General features: G+C 48.3%; 5 annotated features.

Moving 5' to 3' along the window:
* Positions 4,312–4,812: an enhancer, noted in NCBI's record as "H3K4me1 hESC enhancer chr11:116038044-116038544 (GRCh37/hg19 assembly coordinates)". NCBI's record gives its function as "activates a minimal SCP1, AML or CMV promoter by ChIP-STARR-seq in primed H9 embryonic stem cells {active_cell/tissue: H9 hESC(primed)}" and the evidence as "EXISTENCE:reporter gene assay evidence [ECO:0000049][PMID:30033119]".
* Positions 4,813–5,313: an enhancer, noted in NCBI's record as "H3K4me1 hESC enhancer chr11:116038545-116039045 (GRCh37/hg19 assembly coordinates)". NCBI's record gives its function as "activates a minimal SCP1, AML or CMV promoter by ChIP-STARR-seq in primed H9 embryonic stem cells {active_cell/tissue: H9 hESC(primed)}" and the evidence as "EXISTENCE:reporter gene assay evidence [ECO:0000049][PMID:30033119]".
* Positions 14,218–14,718: an enhancer, noted in NCBI's record as "H3K4me1 hESC enhancer chr11:116047950-116048450 (GRCh37/hg19 assembly coordinates)". NCBI's record gives its function as "activates a minimal SCP1, AML or CMV promoter by ChIP-STARR-seq in primed H9 embryonic stem cells {active_cell/tissue: H9 hESC(primed)}" and the evidence as "EXISTENCE:reporter gene assay evidence [ECO:0000049][PMID:30033119]".
* Positions 14,719–15,219: an enhancer, noted in NCBI's record as "H3K4me1 hESC enhancer chr11:116048451-116048951 (GRCh37/hg19 assembly coordinates)". NCBI's record gives its function as "activates a minimal SCP1, AML or CMV promoter by ChIP-STARR-seq in primed H9 embryonic stem cells {active_cell/tissue: H9 hESC(primed)}" and the evidence as "EXISTENCE:reporter gene assay evidence [ECO:0000049][PMID:30033119]".
* Positions 17,633–18,134: an enhancer, noted in NCBI's record as "H3K4me1 hESC enhancer chr11:116051365-116051866 (GRCh37/hg19 assembly coordinates)". NCBI's record gives its function as "activates a minimal SCP1, AML or CMV promoter by ChIP-STARR-seq in primed H9 embryonic stem cells {active_cell/tissue: H9 hESC(primed)}" and the evidence as "EXISTENCE:reporter gene assay evidence [ECO:0000049][PMID:30033119]".

Here is a 26,333-nt window from a genome sequence, read left to right on the forward strand (position 1 = left end):
CAACCATCCTGTCACATAGTATTTCCTACCACTTGCCAGCGGGAGAGGCGATGATGTGGAGCGGAGAACTCCGACTGGGTGGGGAAGGCCGGAGAGGTGCAGGTTGCATTGTTTGTGATCCATTTGTTGAAACACAAGGTCACACAGGCCTGTCCCTAACCTGGGGCATCTCGGGTTGCTCTCCTTTTCCAGGATCGTGTGAGTGGGGCATGGGAAAACGGCTCCTTCTACTCACCCCCCAGGGGAAAAAAAAACATTGTAAATGTCAGAAATGTGATGGAACTGTCAAAAATACATGACATCGGTAATACAATAAATGGTGAAACATATATTCTTTTTTGCTTTGTGACTGTAAAAATTACAAAATTGTCTCCATGTAAAAGTCAAAACAAAGAAAATTTATGACTACTGAGAGAGGTTGGACAGGAATCACGAGTGTCTGTAGCAAGATAGGGACAAGTAGCCCTCCTTCACCCCAGCATTTTAATCACGATTAGTTCAGGGACCAGGCAGTAGACATGGGTCTGATTAAAGGTAGGCAGAAGGTAAAGTTAGTCAAGTATGCTCTAGACTTGGGGGGAGGTGGGGTATGGAGATCAGGGCTGCCTAGTAACTTCTCATTATTGAAAGTTGCTGGAGATCAAGAATCCCGGCTTCTAACCCTGATCTATCGCTTACTGCTAAACAACCTTAAGAAATAGATTAACAGAAAGATCTTTTAGTTAGCTGTGAAGTTCAAATACAATGACTGCACTACCCTGATTTACTTCACAATTAATGATACACCTAGCAAGTGGATAAAATAATAACTATTTAATAGCTTAAAATAATGATAACAGTTCACATGTATGGAACATCACATATATGCCAGCACTATACTGAGCTTTATATACATTTATCATAAATCCCATCTTAGAGACTGAAAAACTGAGACAGAGAGGTTAAGTGATTGGCCCTAGCTTCAAAGTCAGGAAGTGACAAAACCAACCTGGAAACCCAGAGCTCTCGGACTCAAAACTCATGCTCTTCCTGGTAGGAGGAAGTTTGGAGATCATAATCCAAGTTTTCCGACAGTCAAGCTCCCAGCCCACGTCTCTACTGTTGGTCTCCATCCAGTCTAGGACCGGCTGCTTAACAGGGATGAAATGAAATGTTTTTTCTCCTTTAAAGATTTACCATGTATAAATGTATGAGAATATTAAAGGCAACAATTAACTTTATTGGAAACCTTATATTCTCCAGCCTCATTAGAGCTGCCAACAAGATCTATTATTAGTATTACTATGCAGATACTGTAATAAAAAGGGTATTTAAAGTGGATGGTTTGGCAATGAAATAAAATAGCTTTTCTCTCTCTTTCTTTTCCTTTTCAAGGTATATGTGTGTATCAGAGATGGTCTGGAGCAAGGCAAAAGCCCATGGGACCTGAGGACTGAAGAGCTCATAAAATTTCCCTTTGCCACCATTGCAGACAACTAGGACAGTCAGGTGGGGGCAGGAGCTGGAGGTCATCAGAGCCCTCTCAACCTCTCAGCGGGCTCGCCCCCAATACCACTTGGAAGAGAAGGATTTCTGCAAGAGAGAAGATCCTGTTTATTCGAGCAGAAATGTGCCGTAGGGTCCAGCTGCTGTCTTGTACAGTTGTGGACGTCTAACCAAATCCTTCTTGGGGCCTTCAGCTTCTTTCAGCTCATCCACTCATCGCAAAGATGGGAAGTGATTCCCCTCACTCCTTCCCCCTCTCTTCCTCTATTTACCCCACATCCCTTCCCTGGGTTATGGAAAGTCAGAAAGAGGGGGAGCCTGCCTCCTTGCCTTCTATACTCTGGCTTGCTTCCCCGACTAGCTCAATTCTTTCTTTTCAACTCTAAGTCTTCCTGGATGAGGTGAGAATTTCTCCTAGGTCTGGCTCAGGAACCCAGGGAGTATGGGAGGCCTGGGCCTTTCCCCTCCTCAGCCTGCTTGCTTCCATAGCACAGAGAAGATGCTGCCCTCTCTCCCAAGGCCACCTGTTCTTCCTCCCTGTGCAGTGCCTGCCTCCGTCCCCACTGAGCATCCAGTGATGCCCTTTACTAAGAACCTGGGATGGGTGAGTCAGAAGGGGCAGCTGGTATCTGGTCTTTGACTCACCGGAAGCATCCCTGACCTGCTGAATGGAAAAGTCTCAGCTTAATTGGAGGCTCAGTTCTCCCGTAAGGGCTCACAGAGCTGAGCCCACGCTTATGATTATTACTCTTTTTATTAATGCTAATAGTTACCATTTATTGCATGCCAAATACTGACTTATTTAATCTCCATGGCCACCCTGTAAGGTAGGGACTCTTGTTATATTCATTTTGTGAATAAGGAAAGTAAGTTTCAGAGAGCAGATATAATCTATCCCAGCCTTCATCATTGCTCACCTGGACCTTTGCAGTAGCCTTCTCCCTGGTGTCCCTACTGCCACTCTTGATGACCTGCAATTCATTCTCCATACAGCAACACCCTATAAATCTACTGAATGTGTCAGCCTTTTTTGTGCCCCAGGGCCTTTGCATTGGTTGTTTCCTCTGTCTCAATAGAATGTTCTTCCTCCATATTTCCTCTTTTTCATCATTCAGTCTTCAACTCAAAGAGGCCTTACTTGAACACCTTCACAAGCATGCACCTGCCTGTTCTATACTACACACTATATCACCACATGTCCAGTACCTAGAATAGTATGTGGCACATAGTAGGTGCTCAGTAAATATTTCTTAAGTGAATGTTGATGAACTTATCCAAGGTTACATGCTAATCAGAGTTAGAGCAGAGAGTCAAATGCAGGACTGTCTGATCCTTAACCACATCATGTATATGTGTGCAGTTTGGGTGTTCAGGAGAAAGAAGAGTGGGATGGGGGCTACCCAGGGCCACTCAAAGACAACTCATCAAGAGGCCAAGGTCCTTTACAGGACCCAACTAGAATCCAAGCAGTGGGAAGGCCAGGTGAGGACAATGAACCTGAGGAAAGAGGCAAGGAAGAAGGGTTGAGCATGCAGTCCTGAGGCACTGATGGAGAGGTGAGAAGGGCTGTAGATTGGGGGCCAGGGCCACAAATGAGCACTGCTTGGCTATGTGATCCCCACTCCAGGCTACCAAGACCCACTAATCCTAGATGACAATCACTGGCTCTTACTTTCCCCTCTCACAGAAAGAGAAGACAGGACTGTGGGAGGAGCTGTGGGAAGCCTCAGGACCAATTCTCATGCTATATGAATTCTCCAGTTCTGGACTTCCCTTGGGGACGGTTTTACCCTGAAATGGCAGTCAAGCTACCTGGGGATTGCTCTTCTGTGCCACAGTACCAGTAAGATTTTACAAACCCACCTACACCCAGGCAACACTAGCAGTCAGTTGTGCCTTCTGCCTGTGACCCAGGAAAGGCTATTCTACCTCTCACTTTTAATTTACAACAAAGTGTCTAACATGCCCAAGAGTAATCACTGAGCTCTTACTGTTGAGTATAGTTTTGAGCTTCGGGAAGATGGAAGGAATGCAGAAAACACTATCTCTTTTGGGAGATCTATAGTCTAACTGGGAGAGGACACACACACAAGGCATACTATTTAACTACTTAAGAGCATGGGCTACATCAGACCAGACAGACTCACATCCAAGTCATCACTCAGCTGCTTCCTATTTGGGCAATTGTGTTCAACCATTGAAGTCTCAGGTTTCCCATGTGTGCATACACAACGGTGCACGCGTCCCTCACAGCACTATTGTGAGAGTGAATAGCAAAGTACTTCATGAGCTGTCTGGCACCCACGTGCTCAATAAGTGAGAGGAGTTGTTGTTATTGTCATTGTTGTTACAGGAAATAACCCACAGGTCACATATTAAGAAGTACAAATTCATTCATTCATTCCAAGTGAATGCAGCTCATAACTGCTGAGAAGACTGTGATGAAGAAATATCATTGAACGATGTTGTGGGGGCAGGCAGACTTCTTGGAAGAGGCCAGTTTCGAAGCTAGGAGATGACTCAGAATATTAGCATAACAGGAATGATTTCTAGGGCTTCTCAACTTTTCCTTTTTTACATTGTGTCACACAGGGAAAATGGTAATATTTGCATGCTGAAGTCAATAGCACAGGCTACTTGCAGTTAGAGGAGACCCTGTCCTGACCCACCCAGGCATCTGAAGGGCCAAGAGACTCACCATCTCAACACACAGGCAACCTAGTTGTGGCTCGGCAATGTGGCACAGCAACCTAGTGGGGAGCTCTGATTTAGAACAAGCACATCAATTGACAGATGACAAAACAGATTTGGGGAGCAGAAGCGACTTGGCTGAGGTCACCCTGGGGCAGCACCAAGCAGAGAACCAAAGGCCCCGTGCTATATTGTCTGCTCTCAAAAGATAGGAGGACATCAGGTCATGTGAGAAGGTCAAGGAGCTCAGCCCAGGGCAAAGGAGTGGGGCTAAATAGCATTAATGGAAGAGACCTGACCCAGTAAATAGTAAATCTAACGGTAGCTAAACTGAGCGTCCAGGGTCTCTGGCACTGTGCTAAGTGTTTGACATGCCTTATCTCGTTCATTGGAGGTAACGGCCCTATGAGAGGTCACACTGTTAATCAAGTTGTGATGCCAGCTTTGATGGTCACCAGAGGTGCAAAACCAGCGTGGGCGGCCGTCTCCAGGGCCATGCCAGTCACACTCACCTGGAGCAAGAAGCAGGCTGATCCTTTGGCCTCAGACCTCCACAGCCAGGGCCAGAGAAGACAGCCCAGACACGAAAGGCAGACCCTGCTCCATCTGAGCCGAAGGAAGCTTCCAATCCCACCCACTCGTTCTTCTCCTCTACCTTCCTTACCTGCTGCATCCACGGGAGCAACATGCTTGGCCCTGCCACCTTGCCGTATGCATCTTCTGCAGCCCATCTCCCAGGTGAGGAGAGTGGCAGCATGGCACGCACTCCACCTGCTATTTAGAACGCCTGGCCAGGACTCCTGGGGGCACCAGCAGCATGCAGGGAAGTAACTCACAGACACTCAGCTTAATCAAGGATACGCTTGGCTCATGCTGAGGCCCAAGTCTGGCTTCTTCCATCTGGATCTGTTAAGGCCCTGGCTGGTTAGATGATGCCTCTTGGCCCCAATCCTTGGATGTACTGAGTCCTTTCTGGTGAAACTGACTTCTCAGTTGCCACCTGAAAGCTTTGTGTGCCAGTCTCAGGGCTCTTCCTCCAGGGCCTCTTTGCTTGTACCCCCTTAGGGTCCCCTCCCTTGGCTGAATGCAGCTCTATACACCCTATGTCCTACCATTGTCTTCAGAAGCCCTTTCCTTCTCATGCTAAGTCCCTGCATTTTCAGGCTGTGTTCTGCCCCTGGCCTTCCCCTAGACTGAGCCACCTAAACAAACACAGCTACAACTTTCAGATTGCATGGCAGAAATGGGAATAAAATCGGCATTCTTCCACTTGACTCAAGGAGGCCTGCTGCACGACCTTGCCCTTGTCTCATTCTCCACCCTTATCTCCTGGCACCTTCTCTCGCACCCTGCTCAACCACGCTGATCTTGGTGGTGGTTGTTTCTTCAATGACACCAAACTTTCCCCATGCAGGGCTTTGTGCAGGCTGCTCCCTCTGCCTGGAACACTCTTCACCTGACCCCTGCTGATCCTGCTTATCTAAGCTCAATATAATTGCTTATTCAGGTGATCCTTTTCTTACCACTATCTCTAGAGAGTAACCCCCCACTCTGCTTTTGTCTCTTGTATCATCACGCAGATATTTTCCTTTGTACCACTTGTAAAAATCTAGGATTATATGTTCATCTTCCCACATTCCAAGGCAAATTCTTTGAATGTAGACCATGTCTTCTCACTCTCCATTTTACCCTTGGCTGACATAGTTGTTGGTATACACTAGGCATTTATTAAAAATCTATGTAATGAAGGATTGAATGAGTTATATATCCTAAATTTCAATTCCAACCTGGCTGCTGACTAGCTGTGTGAACTTGGCAAGTCACTTCCTTCTTTGGGACCTCAATGTCTCCTCTGTCAATGGGGAGAGAGAAGGCTGAAGTCATCCCAAAGTTCTTCCAGCTCTGCTCCTGCTGCAGCCAGGAGGTAACCTAGAAACCAGCATTAAGAGCACAAAGCACATCTCATCCAAGGAAAGATCTCACTTCCGCATGCTCAAAGTAAGGAACCAATAGGCAAGAGGTACAAAGAATACTTCCATTATAGGAGAAGTAGCTCACACCAACATGAACAGCCTGAAATGGAGGCAGCCCTGGGGCTGGTAGGACTTGGCAGAGGCCCCAAGGCCCCCTGGGCCACAGTGTGGAAAAAGATGGGGGCCTGCAGGAAAAGCAGCCCCAGGCCTTGTCCAGAGCTGGCTGCTGAACAGAGGAAGCCTCTTAGCCTGGGTTCTTGCATTCAACAGATCTCTGTACCTCTGTGAGGGAGCACCCTGGGACCTGGGATAGACACAGTACTTGTCATCAGAAAAAGGAAGATGTTTAATCTGTGTTTTAAATTTTAAATGACTCCACCTGAGAGTAACTGCGCCTGGCCCCTCTTATCTCCCAACCCAGCTCTCAATACTTGATTCAAATTCTATTACTGTGCTGACACCCCTCCTGAAGTTGAGTTCATTGCAAGGAGTCCCCCACTTTTATTTCCATGTAGGTCTCCCCCTCTCCATCTCTGCAAAGCTCCTTGACCCAAAGACAGCTTCAGAAACCATGCTGGGATACCCCACTCACTATCTAATGGGGATTCTGGGCATCCAACAGGTGAACCCCAACCCCAGTAAGGTATCTGAGAGGCTCTGAGGTTCTCAGGGCTCCTGAAATTTGGTATCCCATGGCACATACACTGTTTTATCTCCTCCTCCTACAGCCCAACTCTTAGAATTCTTTTATCACGCTGAAGTTTGGGGCAGACATCAGCTGTAGAGTTGTGCGTTGGGCCTAGGGTATTGCATAATCTCACAAATAAGTCTCTTCTACATTAGCTCTCTAAGCTTCAAGTGTGTGCCCAACCTCACCACATGGTCCTGAGCCTGCAATGGCTCTATGGGTGGTTGCACCAGCCACCATGGTGTCAAAAAGGTCTGGGGCTTGGGTAGCTTTGACTTTCCAAAGATCTTCATTTCTCTTCTCATACTTGATCCCCATGGTACCCCTAGCAGCAGCCTGCTGTGGTCGAAAAGCCAGGATGAGGAGTTAAGGGCCTGATTCTGCCCTTCCCCAGCCATAAGATCAGGCAGATCACAGCCTCTGCTCCTCCCTCCATCAGGTGAAAAGGTTGGGCCAAGTGAAGATTAGGTCTCTTGGTTCTAATATGGTAGAGAAGCAGAGCAAGTTTTAATAAGAGAAAATGAAACTGGGGCTCAAATCGCAGATGTGATTTGCCTGAGATCGCAGGATGGTTGGCTTAAGAACCAACCCTAGAATTCCTCTCTAGATCCCAGTTATTATCTCCATGGGACCACAGGAAGCTCATGGCTACTACACTGGACAGCAAAAATGTAAAACGTTTCCATCAAGACAGAAAGTACAATCAAACAGTGTCAGTTTGGAAATCATCTATATCTGCCTTTCTCCCCTCAGTTAGATTGGTCTCCTCAAGGGCAAGAATCTCAGCCTCCACATCTTAATACCTCCAGTGCCTAGCCCTGTGCTTGGTATCAAAAGTGCTAGAACATATATATCAGATGCAGCTGTTTGCTGGCAGAAAGCCTTGCCACCCAGCTGGGGGCTGGGTCTCAAGTTCAGGCTAGGGAACACTGTGCTGGATAGTGGAGTCTGCATGGGATGGATCATCCCCATCCTCGGATGGGGTGGCCAGGAGCCTGGCTGCTGGAATAGAAGGCCTCACTAATCCATCTGTATTCTACAAGGACAGGCGAAGGGAGCACCTGGCACCGAGGGGGATCCCAGGTGGAAGGGAGCAGACACCACCCACGAGGGAAGCCAGCAGAGGGCACTGCTTCCTCCACCTACATAGACAGTCCCAGCTGGGCAGCACCCTCGTTAGCACCAGGAGGCAACCCTGCTAATTACCAAACCCAAACTCGGGATTTGCATTTTTATGAAATGCTCGCACAGGAGGCAAATATTTTGCCTTAAAAAAAAAAAAAAAAAAAGTCAAGATGGATGAGGGAGAAAAACTCATACCAGTACATACTAATTCAATCTAATCTTGGTCATTTCAGTTTCTATAAGAGAGTGCTTTCATAAAGCTACAAAGCTAACATCCATAACTCTCCAGTTTCCCCAGACAGGATATCTCTGCATTAAGTTTCCCATTTATCTTCAGAGATGGCAAATCATCCGTTTATAATGGGATCTAATAAAGCAAGCTCCCGTTGCAGTCCCAGCCGCAGGAATGCACCTCAGATCCAGAGACACTGCTTGGGGCCTGTGATGGCTTTACCTTCTAGATGCCTGAGTGTGCGGCTGGGGCATCAGCACATGACTTAGTTGTGGTGGCATGTGTGTGTTGGGGAGAGGGTGTGGCCTGCAGAAAGCAGCTACCCTACTCCCACCCGCCCCAACACATACATCCCCCTGCCAAGACCAATGGAGGAGCTGGGCTGGGCTCGAGACTTGCTCTTTAAGGTAGGCAGAGCTTGCTGTAGGGATAACAATTTGGAAAGGAATAGGGTTTGGCAGGCTGATGCAGAGGCTTAGCTGAGTAGGTGGGGATGATGTTCCACTATCACAGGTCAGGGTGCCTGGGAGCAGCCCCTGAGATGGATGGAGTTTTGCCAGCAGGGTATTTAATAAGAAGTGGCATGGGGCCCACAGCAATGGTCAAGCAGGGTAAGAAGTGAGCCTGGGCAGATCGAGGAATCCAGCTTTTATGCAGCCCAGGCAGCCTTGGCACCTCACAAGGAGTTCTGGAGCCGATAAGGGCCTTTGGAAACCATGCTGAATCCAGCCAAGATGGCCAGGCCTTCCTATTCCCACATCAATCTGTCAGTGGATGTGGGCCACCCCAGAAGGGCACAACCCCAGGCATGAGGCTGTCTGCAGCTGAAGTGATCTCTGCAGAGACGGATCACGGAAGCCTGTCTGCTGACTTTCCCAGCAGCTGGTCAACATGTTCTTCATTGACAGGAGATCTGGGCTGGGCTGCATATTACAGTGTCCGCCACACCTGCTAAACAATGTGTGTCCCTCTCCCCTCCACCCAAACATGTAGTTTTATCATCCGTACCTGTGTCCTATGGTGCCAGGCCTTGGGGGTTGGCAGACATTGAGCCCAGCTTGCCGTTCACTCAGTTCTATGCCCTGAACTTTCTCTGGACAGATGTCATAATAAAGCCTGTAGACCAGGCCTGATTGGCCCCTGGCTCAACATCTGTGGGAAGCAGAAGGACCTTGGGAGTGAAGGGGTTGGGGGCCCAGCCCTAGCTAGAGCTGGCACAGGCTGAGGGGATGCAAAGATCAGGCAGAGCCACGTGAACAAACCTTAATGGAGGGTTCTAGGTTCAGAAGCTACAGCTCTGCTCTGATGGAGCACAGAAGTCATGGGGCTTATCCCAAAAGGGACTTAGCGGACTGCTGTCAAAGCACCTCCTGACCTGGTAGGGAGGCAGGTTTGGCAGCCTCTGATGTCTTATATGGGTAGGAAATGTCCTCTGCCCAATCTCCAGGCTGGGACAGGGAGTTCCGGGTTGAATCTGGTGCCATTTCCAAAGCCCAGTAGGAGTCCAGCAGTTATCAAGTGTTAGAAATGGAAGGAGGGAATCCTCAGAGGTCCCAACACCCATACAGGGCAGGGATCCCCTTGTCTTCCTTCGGGGTCTCCCAGAAGCAGATATGGAGATCAGGATTCAAATGCAAATCATCCATTTTGGAGGTGAGAACAGGAAACATCAGAAAGGAAGTGGGGAAGTGGTACTGGGGCGGGAAGGCAGCCAGTGAAGGATTCATTATCCAGCAAGTTTCCACTGTGGGGAACCCTCACTTAATCCTGCTGGAAACTCTGAGAAACAGTGGAAAACATTTGCCTCAGTGTGATCCCATCCAAGGGACATGGGAACTGGGACATTTGTGTACCAGCTCCAGTCAGTCATCACTTGAGGTCACCTCCCCGGTGGGGCATTAATTCCCTGGTGTTTGCAGTTGATGAATGGGGACCAAAATAGACTCTGGGGACAGAGAAGGCTCTAGGGCAGAGAAATGCAGGTGCTGGCTGCTGAAAGCTGGCCAGTTTGCACTGCAGAAATAAGGGAAGGAGATATGGGCATCCACAGGATCTGCTGCCCCCTCCTCTGCATCCCCAGGTATGCTCACGTTGCCTCTGATCAAACTCTTCCAGAAACAGGGAGCTTACTACCTCACACGACCACACATTGCATTGCTGGACAGTTCTAGTTCTCAGAAAGTCATTTCTTAGGTTTAGCAAAAATCTGCTCACTGCCCAGTCTTGGTCCAGTGCCTTCCATTAGAACCAGGGTAGGAATTTTTGTCTATATGTTTCACTGCTGTCTCCCCAGCATCTATATCAAAAAAAACAAACAAACAAACAAACAAAAAAAAACCCAACACCTGGCACGTGTTAGGTTTCGTCAACACGTTTTGAATGAATGAATGCCTGTATGCTTGCTTGGCCCCTGCCTCTTAGGAGTTTACAACTTTTTCCTGTTTCTAGTTTGCTTTTCCACTTATACCCATGTATTTAAGCACACAGCACCGAAGCTGGAACAAAGCTGAGCTCCAGTGCTAGTACTCACCCATTCAACAAGCAGTTGGTGAACTCCTGTCATGTGTCAAACACTCTTCCCAAGTGTTCTGGGCTCTGGCTCTCTGAGGCATAAAGTATTAAGACAGAGGTAGAAGGCAAAAAAAAAAAAAAAAAAAAAAAAACCCACCAGGGATTATGATTTTAGGAAAGATGCTAGGTGTTGAGTTCATCAGGCACAATGAGTCAAGGCACACATGTACATGCTCTTGCTCACAGCTCACTCACGTATTCCCTTTTACAGAGCTGACTCTCCCAATGTGGACACTGAGGCCTGGCCAGCCCTTGAAACACAATCTTCAGAAAAATCAGCCCTTCAGCTCTCCCCGCAAACCCTTCAGGAGAAGGCACGAAGAGTGGTTTTCCTCACAGACCCCAGGACACACTTCCTGTTGCCCATTAGGTCTGGGGAACTTGGCTCTCGGAGCCCCTCCCAGAAGGAGCCACAGTTCCCTCTGCCATTTGTGTTTCCTTTGAAATGTCTCTGTGTGTGCAGTTGGGTTGGGGGGGGGGCGGATTAGCTCCCCTGACTGAAATATGGCTCAGATGCCAGGAAGAGCAAGCTCGAAGCAGCAAGGCGAGTTAAGCTTTCTGCCTCTAGCCCACGGCTTAGCGGTGCGGATTACAACAGCAGGTGATGAGCGACGTTAGCCGCTGCCGTGGAGACCGTGAAAATCCTGTTACAGGGCAAAGGCGTTTTAGCTACAGCTCCAAATTTCAAAGAATGATTGAGCTGGAACGTGGCAGGCAGGAGGCAACTAGGGTCCCAAATTATTTGACTTAAACTGAGAACTGGGCCTGAGGGGGCCACTGAGGCAGAGAATTCTGGAGAGGGACACGGGTGTTCTGCCCCCCTGCCCACCATCCCCTGGGTAAAGACTTGGTCCTCTCTTCCCAGCAGCATGCCCCTCCCACCATCCTCCTCCCCTCCCCTCCCCTGACCATCCATAAGCGTAAGGAGCTTCCATCTGCCTTGAATCCTGTCGTCCTCACCAATCTGCAAACCTCTGGAGACCAGAGCCCATGGTGTCTTCAGCCCTGTGGGGTTCAGCACAGCTCCCAGCACAGCTTCCAGCACATGTAAGTGCTCAGTAAATTTTGTCAAATGATCAATTGGTTGCTGCCTCAAAGCTGCATCTTCCTTGCCTTGTTCCACCTGGTTTCCAGATTCCCCCCACCACGCACACCCCCCTCAACACTGAGCACTCCTGGGAACCCTCATCTTTACACAGCCACCCCTGGTTCCTTGAAAATGAAACAGCACCTGGTGGCAGACCAGAATCCAACTGCAAATGAGTCACTTAGGGCAAGGGAAAGATTTGTGAAACCAGGAAAAGAATGAGGCTTCAGTAATTTCTTTACCCTGTTCAGTGGGAAAATGATAAAGTCACAGGATTTAAGAGTATTTTCTAGAGTCTTTGAGTTCAACACCCACCACCACCACCACATCGACCCTCCTACTCTCCCGCAGCCCATATTGGCCTTAAGGGGAAGTAGCTTGAAGTGGAGGAAAGAGTATTTGGAGTCGGAGGTCATTAGGAATCTAGGTTCAAATCCTAGTTTTTCAAGTCACTTAACCTTTCTGAACCTCTGTTTCCTCATCACCAAACTGCCCACCTTATAAGCCATACACTGAGACAATGTCCACAGAGAAACTTCTCAGTGGTTAACACACAGCAGAGAGTAATCCAATAATAATGGCGTCGTTATTGCGGGAATCCTGGTTCCCCATATGCTAAACCTTCATCCCTAAGGAAACTCAGTTTGAGTATGGCCTCTATCCCTAAGGAAACCCAGTTTATGGAGGACATGAGGTCCCTTGATCTGATTTTATCCTCATAACAACCCTATGTGAGGTGAGTGATGATTATTCCCTCCCACAGAGTGGAAACTGGGGCTCACAGAAATAACTTGCCAAGCTTGCTGGGCCAGGAAATATGAAGGCTGGAACTGGAACCCAGGTAGTGAGGCCAGAGCCCAGAGCTGTTTTCTATACCAGAGTACCCCTCAGACAGGAACAACTGACTGTTACAGGGAACCCTATCCTGGGTGGGGACCTACTGTCTGGTAGACAAAGATGATGAGGGCAACTCTGTCCTCCCTCCCCTCCTCCCTCCCTTCCTTTTCATCCTTCCTTCTTTCCACCATGCAGTGATTAAGCGCTTGCCATCTGCTCAGCTGCTAGTAGTGAATATGTGGGATACAGACGGTCTGGTCGCCGCTGAAGGCAGCTCACAGTCCAGCTGAGGAAATGAAACAACAATTACACGTAATTTCAGAGCACTGGGTCACATTCCCAGAGGACTATCATGGCACTTCACGTAAAATGCACGTGTGGGGTCAGAGGAAAAAAGGAATGGTCTGCAGTGCCACAAAGCAAGGAGGAGAAACACTGCAGGGCTCTGAAGACCCTGGAATGATGAATAGAAGATCCTAGGAGACAGCTTGCCTAGGAAGGAGCTGTGTAAAGATGAAATGGGCTGCCTGGGAAGAGAGTGAGTTTCCCATCTCTGCAGGTATTCAAGGAGTGTCTGAGTGATTAACTTCAGACTCCTCCAGCCCCAAGACTCTCCAAATTGATAACAATGCCTGTTAAAGAGTCCACTATAAAAGAAGCAAGGAGATCCAGAAAGGTCAGCTCACACTCCCTCCAGAGAACCCAGAGCTTCTCTGAGGAGGGCGCAAGTCAATCACTCCTCAGCTCGGCTTAACAGAACTTCAGTCTCCTCATCTCACATAAGCCATTCCCCCCTCCAATTTCCTGTGCCTGACTCCTCCAGGCCAACATTTAGAGGATCCGTAGCCACTGCCTCTTCCTCTAAGGGAAAACAAAGGAGAAAGCAGGCAAAGACCATCCGAAAATCCCCTTGTTTGCTCTCCTCTTCAGAGTCTCTGCAGAACACAGGCTGGCTATGTCCCAAACAAACAGGAAGCTGGGCTCCACTTCCGCTGTGCCCTTTGCAAAGGCTCCTGTCTACACCTCCTCTGCCAGCAAGGTCTCGCCCTCTCAGAATGGTGGGGGGAGGGACTGCAGACCATGAGATGCTGGGGAGGTAGGCCTCTCATTCCTCCACCTCTCCCTTTCCTTGGTGCTGCAAAAATGAAGGCGTCTCAGGCTACCTACTCTGGAGATCCTCCTATGTCAGCTGAAAGGCTTTCATGCCTAGGGTCCCAGAGCTGGAAAAGGTGGCCCTCAGTAGCCATGTCCTCCAGCCTCTTCATTCACGAGCTACTGAAAATGACATAGCAGTGTCAAACCTGCAGCGATCCCCTATGCTGGCTACCAGCTGGGTAGAGCTACATTGTTACTGTTAGAATTATGTTAAAACTGATTATTGCCCCTCTGCCGTTACAGAGTACAGTTCACAGAGCCTGCATAGGCACATAACATCCCAAGATGTAGCAGAAAGAGGAGGGTTTGGAATACATCAGTGCTGGATTCAAATCCTGGCTCCTGCAGCTAGCAGCTATTTGACTCTGTGCTTGTGACATCAACTCTCCATGCATTAGTGTCCTTGTGGTAAAAATAGAGATGAGACTGACTGGCCCATGCTAGGCGTTTGTGCAGCTTACAGGATATGATGTGTGTAGAGTCTCTGGCATCTAGTAAGTAGCCCCCTTCCCTCCATCTCTGAGGCCCCTACTAGGGACTACTAGGGATGGGGAACAGAGGTGGAAATGAGCTTTCTTACTTCCTTCTCCAGAGGTCAGTCCCAGGATTTTTATTGGCCTTAATCACTGTGATTTCTGTGATTTACCAAGAATTGAGAAGGAAGGGAGGAGGGCTCTTATCCTGAGAGCTATTTGTTTTCTCTAAGATAGATCCAAGCAGAGGCCAACCAGCATCACCCTCTCTGGCCAGAGCATCCTGATATGTGCCAGCCAAGCACCTGGATGTGCTGGGGGATGGGAGGGCAGGACAGATGGCCCCTCTGGCCCAGCTGAGGTAAGGGGAGCCAGCCACTGCCCTATGGGGAGAGGCAACCTAACGGGAACTGAGGCATCTTCCAGCTGGGGCACCCAGGCCTCCTCCCAGGAACAGTGGGCTGGGCTGGACAGTGGGCCCCTTTGAAGGGCTGGCCCTCCCTGGAAAACCAGTTAAGGTAGACCAGGATAACTAGGGAAAAATAGAAAGGAAGGGTAGTGGTTAATTTTATGTGTCAACTTGGCTGAGTCACAGGGTGCTCAAATATTTGGTTAAACATGATTCTGGGTGTTTCTGTTGAGGGTGTTTGGGGATGAGTTTAACATTTGAATCAGCAGACGGCCAAAGCAGATTTCCCTCCCCAACAGGGGTGGCCTCACCCAATCAGTTAAAGGCCTGAATAGAGCAAAAGGCTGACCCTCCCCCTAGTAAGAGAGTATTCTTTCCGCCTGATTGCCTTCTAGGACATCAGCTTTTTCCTACCTTCAGACTCAAAGCGAAACATTGGCTGTCCCTGGGTCTCAAGTTTGTGGCCTTCCAACTGGAACCTACACCATCAGCCCTCCTAGTTCTCAGGCCTTCAGACCCAGGCTGGAACTTACAACCTCAGCTCTTCTGCGTCTCCAGCTTGCCTACTCACCCGACAGACGTGGGACTTGTCAACCTTCATAATCATATGAGCCAATTTGTTAGAATAAATGTTTTTATATCACACACACACACACACACACACACACACACACACCCCCTTTTGGCTCTGTTTCTAACCCTCACTAATACAGGAAGGATCCTACTCAACACTAGAAAAGATATTTGAACACCCCAAGCTGCCCAACCATGGGATGAGCCATAGTTGGGAGAGGGAGGGAGCAGCCCCAGCCTCGAATGCAGAAGAAACAGGCCCTATCCAGCATGCATGTGGGTTCCTGACTTGGATGAATCCCAGGCCTCTCCAGTGTGCCTTCCCCATCTTCCTCACTCTGGGGCGCTATCCAGCATCCATCAGGGGCGCAGTCGGAAAGTGAGTTCTATATTTTCCAAAGACCCTTCCAACTCTCAGAGACTGTGATTTTAAGACAGAGACAGGGAGGGTGTGATGTGGTCATTCTCCATAGATGTCATCCAGCGCAGTGTCCCCAGAGGTAAAGGAGCTGTGGGACATTCGTCATTGCCATAAGCCCTTTCTCCCCTTACCCACTTACATCAATGGCAGGTGAGGTGAGTTCTCTATTTCCTAACCCTGTGCTCTCTTCATACCATAATGCCAAGAGGTGTGTGAATGAGGAGGGAGGAAGACAAGACACAGAAGGCACACTGGAGAGACCTGGGATTCAACCAAAGCAGGAGCTGACAGAACAGTGTGTGGGTCACCCAAAGGAACAAAGAGAAGGGTTCCCAGGAGCCTTGCCCAGCTCCACAATTCAGGTCCACCGTGTGACTTGAGGGCCTCCTGATCACAGCGGCCTGCATTCCTCATCTCCAGCAGGAAATGATGGGAGAATGATAAAGATATGAGGGCTACTCGACCTAGAAAAGAAAAATTCTTTTCTTTGTGTACTTTAAATAAAGATTTAAAAGAAAACAGCATTTCTCTTTCTTGAAATGTTTTTGGAATAAACCTATTATGAAGAAAAAGTGGGATAAGGGTTTGCTTCCTGGCTGTGACAGCAAGTTTGGGATGAAAGAGAATCTAATTGCCATTGGTCTCTCTTCTCACTCCTCTCCTCCACCTCTTTCCCACTTCTATGCCCTCCCCACATGCCCCATGCCCAGCAACATCAAAAATGTGCCCCTTCTTGCTCTCCAGCTGGCTCTGCCCAGATATCTTCAAGGAGACCTGAAATGACCAGCTGAAGGCTATGGTTCAGAAATGAGTCAGCCGGGGTGGTGGTGGCCCTAGTGGGAAAGCTGACAGCATAAGTGCAGGAATGGCAGCAGGCAGTGGAGCTGGCAAGACATAAGGTGGGGCTGCTGAGCAGAGCCTGGGGTGCCCTGGGGTTCAGCCTCAGCACAGGGAGCTCCTGAGGGGACTCTGCCCACCCCTTCCCCGAGAAAACTCAGCAGATGGTGTCAGTGAAGGGGGACACACTCGAGCCACCAATCTCTTTTGTAATGGATTCTAGGGTGCTACAGTGAGCCAGGAAGACCCAGAGTGTTAGGAGTTGAATTGTCTCCCCAAAATTCATATGTCAAAGTCCTAGTTCCCAAGGTCTCCAAATATGGCCTTACTTGGAGATAGGGTATTTATAGAGATCATTAAGTTAAAGCAAGATCATTAGGATGGACTCTAATCCCATATGACTGGTGCTATGGACTTGGGATGTGTCATTCCTCCAAAATTCATATGTTAAATGCCTAACTCCCAGTGTCACTGTATGAGGAGACAGGGCCCGTGAGGAGGTGGTAAAGGTTAAATGAAGTCATAAGGATGCAACCCTAATCTGATAGGGCTCATGGCCCTACAAGTAGAGGAAGAGACACAAGAGCTCTCTCCACTCCATGTGAGGATACAGTCAGAAGGCAGCCATCTGCAAGGCAGGAAGAGTCCTTGCCAGAAATTGACCCTGACAACACCTTGAGCTTGGATTTCCAGTCTCCAGAACTGTGGGAAATAAATTTCTGCTGTTTAAACCACATAGTCTGTGGTATTTTGTTACAGCAGTCCAAGCAGACTAATAGAACTGGTGTCCTTATAAAAAGGGAGAAATGTGAACACAGAGACACACACAGAGGGAAGATTACATGAAAAGACACAGGGAGAAGATGGCCATCGGCAGCCAAGGGGAGATCCTGGAACAAATCCTTCCCCTCACAGCCCTCGGGAGGAACTAACCCTGCTGACACCTTGATTTCAGACTTCTGGCCTCCAGACCTGTGAGATAACACAGTCCTATTGTGTAAGCCACCAGTCTGGGGTGCTTTATTAGGCAGCCCTATCCAACTCTCATGCTGGGCTAGACGGTAAACCACAGGTCGGAGGCAAGTAGGATCAGGTTCGCCCTCCATGCAGTCCTCTGCTCTCAAACCTCCCCCTGGCCTGGAGGGGAATGGATTCTTAGACATCAAGGTCTTTCTTTCCTATTGATGTGTCCTGGGCCCCTAGAGTTCCAACTTTCCATCTCATTTGGGGGTGGACACCAGACAAGGCCGTAGTTTGCTATGCAAGAAGAAATCATTTTTAATCAGGAAACAGTGACTCTCAGAGAGAAAAATCCATGGAGACAGAGCAGGCCTGGTGCCAGGGAGAAGGCCAGTTGCCAGAGCCCAGTTCCCTGTTTTAATTCCATGGCTCATGGGGGAGGGCATCTCCGCCCTGCTGAAGGGGAGGAGAAAGACAGGGGTACTTATCAGCCAAAGCAGATGCCCTCCCAGAGGCCTGGCTAGTGTCCTCCTCTTGCTGGGCCTGCCCCGGCACAATGGCAAGCTGGATTGGGAGGAACTGGAGGCAAAAGCAAGCAGAGGCAAAAGGAAGGGGGTGGGCTCAGAAGGGAAAGGTGGTGGCCGGCACCAGCTGCCTAGCTGTGCCCCGCCCCTTCTTCCCTCCTCAGTGCCTGCTCCCCCATCACACAAGGAAGGAGTCCCTGCCATGCAGTTCCAAGGAGAGACAGAGACAGGGCATGGAGTCACACAGGCAGGAAGGAATCTGGTAGGCATCCAGAGGAGGCTGGCATGAGAACAAGGGACAAAGATGGGAGTTAAACACACTCACACGAAGCTGCCTCCAAAGGCTGCCGAGACGCTTCAGAAAACACATCAGTCCGGCTTTCCAGCTGTCTCCAGATTACGCCACCAGCACCTTTGGGATTCTCCCATCACTACACATTAACGACAATGAGGCCATCTGCCCCTGTCCAGCTGAAACGCTCCCCCCATCAGCCCTGAATGTGGTCCGTGTGATGGCTGAAGAAAGGAGCCCACTCCCAGGAGTGGGGAAGGGGAAGAAGGAACATGGATTTCCAGATCATAGAGTGAAATCCCTAAGCCATCAGGTTGATTTGGGATTCTGGCAGACAAGCAAATCTGCAGAGGGGAAGATGCTAGGGCGGCTTAAGAAACAAATTCAAAGCAAAAGACAATGGCATTGATAGCAGTCCTCCCCACCGCAGGCCCTCTTACGAGAGCTTTGAATTCTCAGCGATGGATCCAGAAGACAGAGCAACATCATCTCAGCCAGTGGTGGCACCAGCCTGTGTTTGCAGGAGCCAGGCACATCAAGTTCAGTTCCAATAAGTGCACTGAAGAATCTGAAGCCTACGACAGTATTTTCAAGGCACTGTGGAAGACAGATAAACTTGGAGTAGGCAGACCTAGGTTTGGATCCTAGCTGCACTTCTTACTAGCTGGGTGACACAGACTAGTGACACAAATATCTCTGAGCTTGCTTGATTTTTAAAATAGGGGTTTGAGCATCTACATTATGGGTTTGGTGAGTGGATTAAATGAGATTAGTACAGAGTCAGGCACACAGTAGGTAGATGCTCGATAAATATTCTTGTTACCCCCACCCACATGCACTTCCTTCCTACCTAATACACCCAGCTCCTAGATAAGACTCATGGGAAAGGGTTGCCATGGCTCTGTTTGAAAATCTCTAGTGGCAGAGAACTCACCACCATACAAAGGGGACCACTGCATTTGGAAAGCTCTCCTGGTCAAAATGTTATTTTGCTTATTATAAAATAAATCAAAATCAGCCTCTTTATAATGCCTCATTGGTCTTTATTCTGCCCCACCCCTGACACGCTGTCACAAATAAGCCATACGAAGAGAAGGAGTATGCTCTCCTTCACCTTTAATAACAATTCCTGTTACCATGTGTACCTTCTGCAATCATGCCTCACTCCATCTATTCACTTACTCACCTATTCAACAGGTGACCAGCTAGCTCCCCCAGGACACTGTGGCAGGGCACAAAGATAATGGTCCTGAATTCATTGTGAACCAGGAATCCCCAGCTGGCTAAAATCTCAGAGTGCCTTTGCAAACTCTTTTTTTCCCTCCAGAGGCACTACAAAGAGAAGGAAAGGCATGAACTAACTTTAGCAGTGCCTCCGGAAGGAAGGCCATGCTCTCCACGTCTCCAGAGAATCTGAAGGTTGGCCGCAGAGGAAGCATGGTGATCCTAATTTCTTGTTCCCAACAGGGCCTAAACTCACCTCACATGGCAGGAAACCGCTCTTTGCTTTGAGATGAGCCAGCTCAGTCTTATTTGCAAAGCTGTCCCCAAACTCTCCATAGGAAGTATAATGTCCCCATAAAGAATCCCTATCTTCTCATGTGACTACTTCTCGCTCTTTAAAGAAATAATCTGAGTTTGCAGTGAGCAAGCTTCCTCCTCTCTCCCCCTCCTTCACCTGATACTATTTTGGCTCCCAATAATTACATTAGGTATAGAAACTGACTTTATGTTGCTAATAATTATACATGCTTACAAAACAGATGGGTCTGGGGATCTGGAGGGGGGTAGCGTTTATGGACTCGGAAATGAGATGTTTTGTTGGTAGGAAATGGATAGTTATTTCCAGGTTTTATTGCTGTGTTTCTCAGGACTCTTCTTAAATCTTGTTGATAATACTTTGCCTGTATTGCCTTCCGTGCATTTTATAAGACTTAGATCATCAATCCTGGGTATGTGGGAGAAATGGCATTAACTGCCTGGAGCAGGAGGGGAAGGCAGAAATGACAGGGACAGGCCGGTGCCACTCAGAAGAGGCCTGTACTGGGGAGTCAAGAGATTCTTCTTACCAAGACACTTGGTAGTGGGGGGATATCCCATTAAATATCTGAATCAGAAGGAATCTTAGAAGAAGTCACCTGGTCATGCAGTTAGTGTGGTCCCCAGACTGGCAGGACCATCATCAACTGGAAACTACTGGAAATGCAAATTCTCGGGCCCTACACAGAACCCTGGGGGCAGCCTCCAGGAATCTGCCTTTCTCCCAGGTGATTCTGAGGATTGCTAAACTTAAAAATCACTGATCTTGCTCAATCATGTTGTATTAAAAATAAGTAAACTAAAGCCCAGAGGGACTAAGTGATGTGCCCCAAGTCTCCCAGCCAGTTAATGGAAAGGCAGGGCTAGAACTTACAATTCACCACATTAGTTCTCTCCCCAAAACACCGTGTTGCACTATGCACACCTAGGCACTACGCACATGATCTAATTGATGTGCTTCTCCAACACTGGGGTGTGTGGAAACCACGTAGAGATCTTGATAAAATGCAGACTCGGATTCAGAAGTTCTGGGCTCTGCATGTCTAACAAGGCCTCTAGGTGACACGCTTAGAGGTCCATGTAGGTCCATCCAAACTATGGCCCTGGTGTCACAGCTGGACAGAGGTTCTGGGATTAATCAGTTGTGGGACTTTAGGCAACTCACTTCCCCCCTTCAGCCTCACTTTCTCCATTTGGACAGAGAAGGAGCTACTGCCTTTTATGTGCCTTTCGCAAGATGAGTCTATGCAGCAGTGACTTCGTGTCTACTGCTCAGCTCCGGATCATTCTCTCTGGAGCTTTGGTCAGTGGGCCACTGCCCAACCAGTCCTTCGTCATCTCTCTCCTCTCCAGGCTGCCACGTTAACTTCAGGAGGGCTGGTCATCTCCCATTTTCTCCAAAATCTACATGACACATAGATAATAGGCTCTGGCAAAAATGAAACGTGTCTCCCTTTCTTTCAAGGAACACCTGGGTAAAAATCCCAGGACCCGTTCTTGTTCTCTCTGGTTCATATTTCTCTTTGCTCATTGGTAATGGGTTCCTCATGATAGCTGACCTAAATCCCTCTAGCTTTAAACACCCCGTCATTTAATTATTCACTTGACAAGCACTTTTTCAGTGCTCTCTGAGTGCAAGCACTGGGATAGACACCAGGTAAGTGAACTTCCTCTTCCCTACCTTCTTTTCCCCCATCATTTGGGGCTCCAAGTGAGCTAGGTCCAAACCTAAAACCCTAGCCAGGGCCACTTCTTGCTGGACATATTTGCTGAACATCTTCTAATTTCATCTGACTGACTTATCTCCCTCCCCAACCAGGTGGACTTGCCTTATCCTCCTAATTGGGAACACCCCATCTCTCCAGCCCCCAAACATACCCATTTGTCAGCTGCCAGCAGGTTCGGCTCCGCCTCTTTCATATCCTGTTTCTCTTGGAATCTCACTCCCTCCCCACCAGGTCCCTTTCTTTCAGACAACATTGATAATGAATAAATCTCTTTCAGAGTATAGAGTAGGCTGGCATGTCCATGGGGAAGGCCCAGCAGACACAGGCAGGATGGATGGCTGGTGGGAGCGGTGCCGTCGGCTCTAATTAACGTATTGTTCTCTGGGCTCCTGCAGGATTATGGATGAGCTCCACAAAGCGGCCCACTTAACCTGAGCATCCTAGTTCCAATCTATTACTTTCTCCACTGGCTTCAGCCTACAGTTTGGCCTGGTGTGGAGGCGCTGGGTGTGGGGAAAAAGCCAAGAGAGCTCAATTTGAGGAGCTCACCAAATGTACACGCCCAGCTTGCTTCTGCCTGATAGGTTAGCCTGCTGGAGGCCTGAGCTTATTCCCCCAGGAGGCAAAGAAAGTACCACCAGAAGTACCATGAGGCTCTGATTTGAGATCTAATCTACATAGTTTTGCAGGTAGACATAGAGGGTTACCAGCCAGCCAAGATGTGGGAGCTTCCTCCTGATTGCTGGCTGACAAAAAACAATCAAAACAACTTTAATGCTGGCCTCTAAGCCAAACCTTTCATTTGCATATCACAAAAAGTCTCTCATCTTCTGATCATGTTTTTCATGCATTAACTTTTGTCCGAGGGCTGTTCTATCCAAGGGTATGAACTGCAAGACTCGGCTCTCACCCTTATGAAGCTTACAATCTAGTGAAGAAGATAAGACACATTTGTAGAAGCCCCCAGCACCAAATGAGTGTCCAAGGGAAGTGCTGCATGGAGTACAAGTGCAGTGATGTGAGAATGAAGATGATCGTGGTGTTAAGAGAGGGATCTTAGAGGTGTAAACAGGTAGGCAGGAAGGAGAGCCACTCTGCAATAAGGATCCCCGGGGAAGGAAAAGGACAGCCTGGCAGTAGCATTTGCTGCGCTCAGGGGAGTCAAGCGTGAGCCATCTGGACAGGTAACCTGGGGGCAGAGTAGAAAGAAAGGGCTCCACTAAGGAGTTTGGGCTTTATGGTAGCAGAGGGTCATGAAATTGTCAAGCAGAAGAAAGACATGGTGAAAATCTATGTGTGCAATGGAGAAGATTAATCTGTCAGGGATGTGCAGGAAGGATTTGAAGAGGAGTTATGTGGTGCTGGGGAGACCAATCAGGAGGAGGCCATTGCAGCCTGAAAGGTCTAGAATGATGATAGTGGTGACAATCTCCAATTCACAGGGGAAAAAGGGTGGTGGTACTGAACCCCACAGACTTTCAGTGAGGTGCCCAAAGTTACACAGTTAATTATGGTTTGGTCTCGGCATGACTCCTAACCCAGGATGCTTTGTTCAAGGTCATATAATGAGAAATCAAGGTAGCTGCAGTGGCTCCGACCGGTTGTCCTGGCGCACAAGGAGGAGAGGCTACGCGTTCAAGGCCAACCTGGGCAAAATTGAAGAAAAAAAAAAAAAGGTGCAGTGGCTCATGCCTGTAATCCCAGCATTTGGGGAGGCCGAGGTGGGAGGCTGAGGCAGGTGGATCACAAGGTCAGGAGTTCAAGACCAGCCTAGCCAATATGGTGAAACCCCGTCCCTATTAAAAAAATTTAAAAATTAGCTGGGTGTGGTGGTGTGTGCCTGTAGTCCCAGCTACTCAGGAGGCTGAGGCAGAAGAATCACTTGAACCCGGGAGGCAGAGGTTGCAGTGAGCCGAGATCGCGCCACTGCACTCCAGCCTGGGAGACAAGAGCGAGACTTCATCTCAAAAAAAAAAAAAAAAAAGAAAAGAAATCAATTCCCAGCATCACCCAGGCATATGGTTATCAACTAAACTAAGCTACAATGGCCTAGGCTCACACATGGTTTCAGATGCTCCCCAGAACAGCAGGCTGCAAGGACTCTGCCCACTCCTGACATCACTAGCATCCTACTTAAGTTTCACCAGGAATGTCTGCCTTGCAGGACAGAGAAGGCTGACTCTCCACCCACCCTACTTCCAACCCTATGCCCAGTGGGAGCCATAGCAACATAGGAGATAGATGGGAGATGGGGGCCAGGAAGTCCTGGACTCACAATCTCTCTCTCCCACAACCTCAGACAAGCTACTTAATCTCTCTAAGGTAGATTAGAGAAGGTAGTGTTATCTACATACTTTATGGGGTGGCAGAGACAATGAAATGAGAGAGTGTACACAATAGAACAGATAGGAAACCAATAAATCATTAGATATTACTGTCATTATCATTACATTCTTATAAATGTCAGGGCTTCCAGACCTAGAACATAGATCAGGAGCAGTGTTCTGTCGGTAAAGCTTTATACTTCAAAGTAACATGCTAGAAGGGGAAGGCACAGCCACTGGAATGGAAAACCCAGCTCTGAGAACTGATTCCACTTCCATTAGCTGTGTAATTCTGGGTGTGGTGGAAACTGTCAGGGCTCACCGATATCTGCATTCACCTTTTCTTCCTGGACTACATTTCCCAGCCTCCTTTGTTGTTAGCTATAGCTGTGTGTTTCTATTCTAACCTATGGAATATGGAAAGAGGTGATGTGTGCTGCCTCCAGGCCTGGCCCAGAAAAAGCATTCCACAAACAACCCTCCCCTGCTCTTCTCCATTGATCAGCCAAATCAAGAAACTCCAAATACCTTGAGGACAGCAGAGTCACAGGGAGAAGCAGCCTGGGTCCTGGACCCTACTGCATCAAGAAGAGCAACCCTGCTGACTCTCACTGAAGAGGGCATATTTGAGAAACTCTTACTGAGCTAACCCACTGAGATCTGGGAATGTTTGTTACAGCAATTAGCCAACACTGACTAATACACTTGGCAAGATGCTCACCTTACCTAAGCCTCAGATTCCTCATCTATAAAATAGGCCCTTTAGCTAATACCTGTCCCATTTTTATTACAAGATGATTGTGATGATAGAAACGGCATAATGAAGGAGGAAGCATTTCTCCAAACAGCCCAGGATTCGCAAATGTCCATTATTTGTACTGTTGGCATTGAGCAGTCCACCACTAATGTCATGCCATGAGCCCCTCATCCAGCTCCCTTGTGCTTTGAGCCCTGAGTGTGAGTCAGGACAGAGGCTACAGCAGGGATGGGCATCAGAGTTAGCTATCTCCTCCTACTTTCTTCTGGAGAAAAGATTCAAGTACTTTACCTACATCCTCATGCTCCCATTTCCCCATCCATACACAATGCACATCCATACAGAGATTTCCTAACTCCCCCGAATGAACCCAAGGCAGGTGCCAGATTGGTCCTGTTGAAGCCATTATACCCTAGTCTGGGATAAAGCAGGCACCCCTCAATCATCTTTACACTAAAGAAGCCACGGGGAGCTGCCACCCCATGTTTGATTCTTTCATTGCAAAAGTCAAGAGGGATGCAAATCATCAAGTACACATGTCCTCATGGCAGGAAGTAGAAGTTGAGAGTGGACACAGGTGACTGAAAAGAGACTAGCACTGCTCACAAAGGCACCCATGCAAAGGAATGTGCATATGCACCTGTGTGCATATGTATATGTGTAAATGTTTCAGATGTGTCAGTATGTCTGTATTTGAAAGGTACGTGTAGATATTTGTGAAAATCTATTTGAGATGTCCAAACACATGGGTTTGAGTGTGCATGTTTATGAGGTGTGCACATGTGTTTGTGTGTGCTTGAGGACTGTCTGTTTGTGTCTATGTAGATGTGTCTGAGATGATCACACACGTGTGTGTCTGAGAGGTGCATGTGTGTATAACTGCATGAGTGTGTTTGAGATGCGTGCATATACTTATGTGTGTCTGAGGGGTGCACGTGCATGTACCTATGTGGATGTGTGTAAAGTGTATGCACTCATATGCCTGAGGAATGCCTGCACATATACTTATGCAGATGTGTTTGTGGTACAAGCATACACGTGTGTTTGAGGGGTGCATGTTCATGTATATATGTGGATGTGTTACAGGTGCATGCATTTGTGTGTGTTTCAGGGGTGCCTCTGTGTACCTATATGGCTGTGTCTGAGGGATGTGTGTGTGTGTACTCTGTGGATGTGTCTGAGGGGTGTGTGTGTGTGTGAACTCCGTGGATGTGTCTGAGGGGTGTGTGTGCACTCTGTGGATGTGTCTGAGGGGTGCATGTGTGTGTGTACCTATGTGGATGTGTCTGAGGGGTGTATGTGTGTGTACTCTGTTAATGTGTCTGAGGGGTGCATGTGTGTGTACTCTGTGGGTGTGTTTGAGGTTCTCTCACTGTGTGTTTGTGCATATGAGTGTTGTGTCTTGGACAGGAGGTGACAGGGGAGAAAAGGTTAAGGGCCACCTTTCTGTAAGACCTTCAAGTCTCACTCCTAGAGGAGGAGTAACTAGAACCTCAGGGAATATCATCACTGTTAGGAATATTCTGGTCCCCCTTCCTAAATCTTTTTCCTGGAAATTTTAGAATAGGAACTTCTTCCCTCCACTCCCTGAAAAAGGCAGAACCATTTGCTTATTCATCTGCTCTTTCATGCATTCACTAAACATTTGTTCTG

This window comes from Homo sapiens, chromosome 11 (assembly GCF_000001405.40).
Source record: "Homo sapiens chromosome 11, GRCh38.p14 Primary Assembly".
In the NCBI taxonomy this organism is placed as follows: domain Eukaryota; kingdom Metazoa; phylum Chordata; class Mammalia; order Primates; family Hominidae; genus Homo; species Homo sapiens.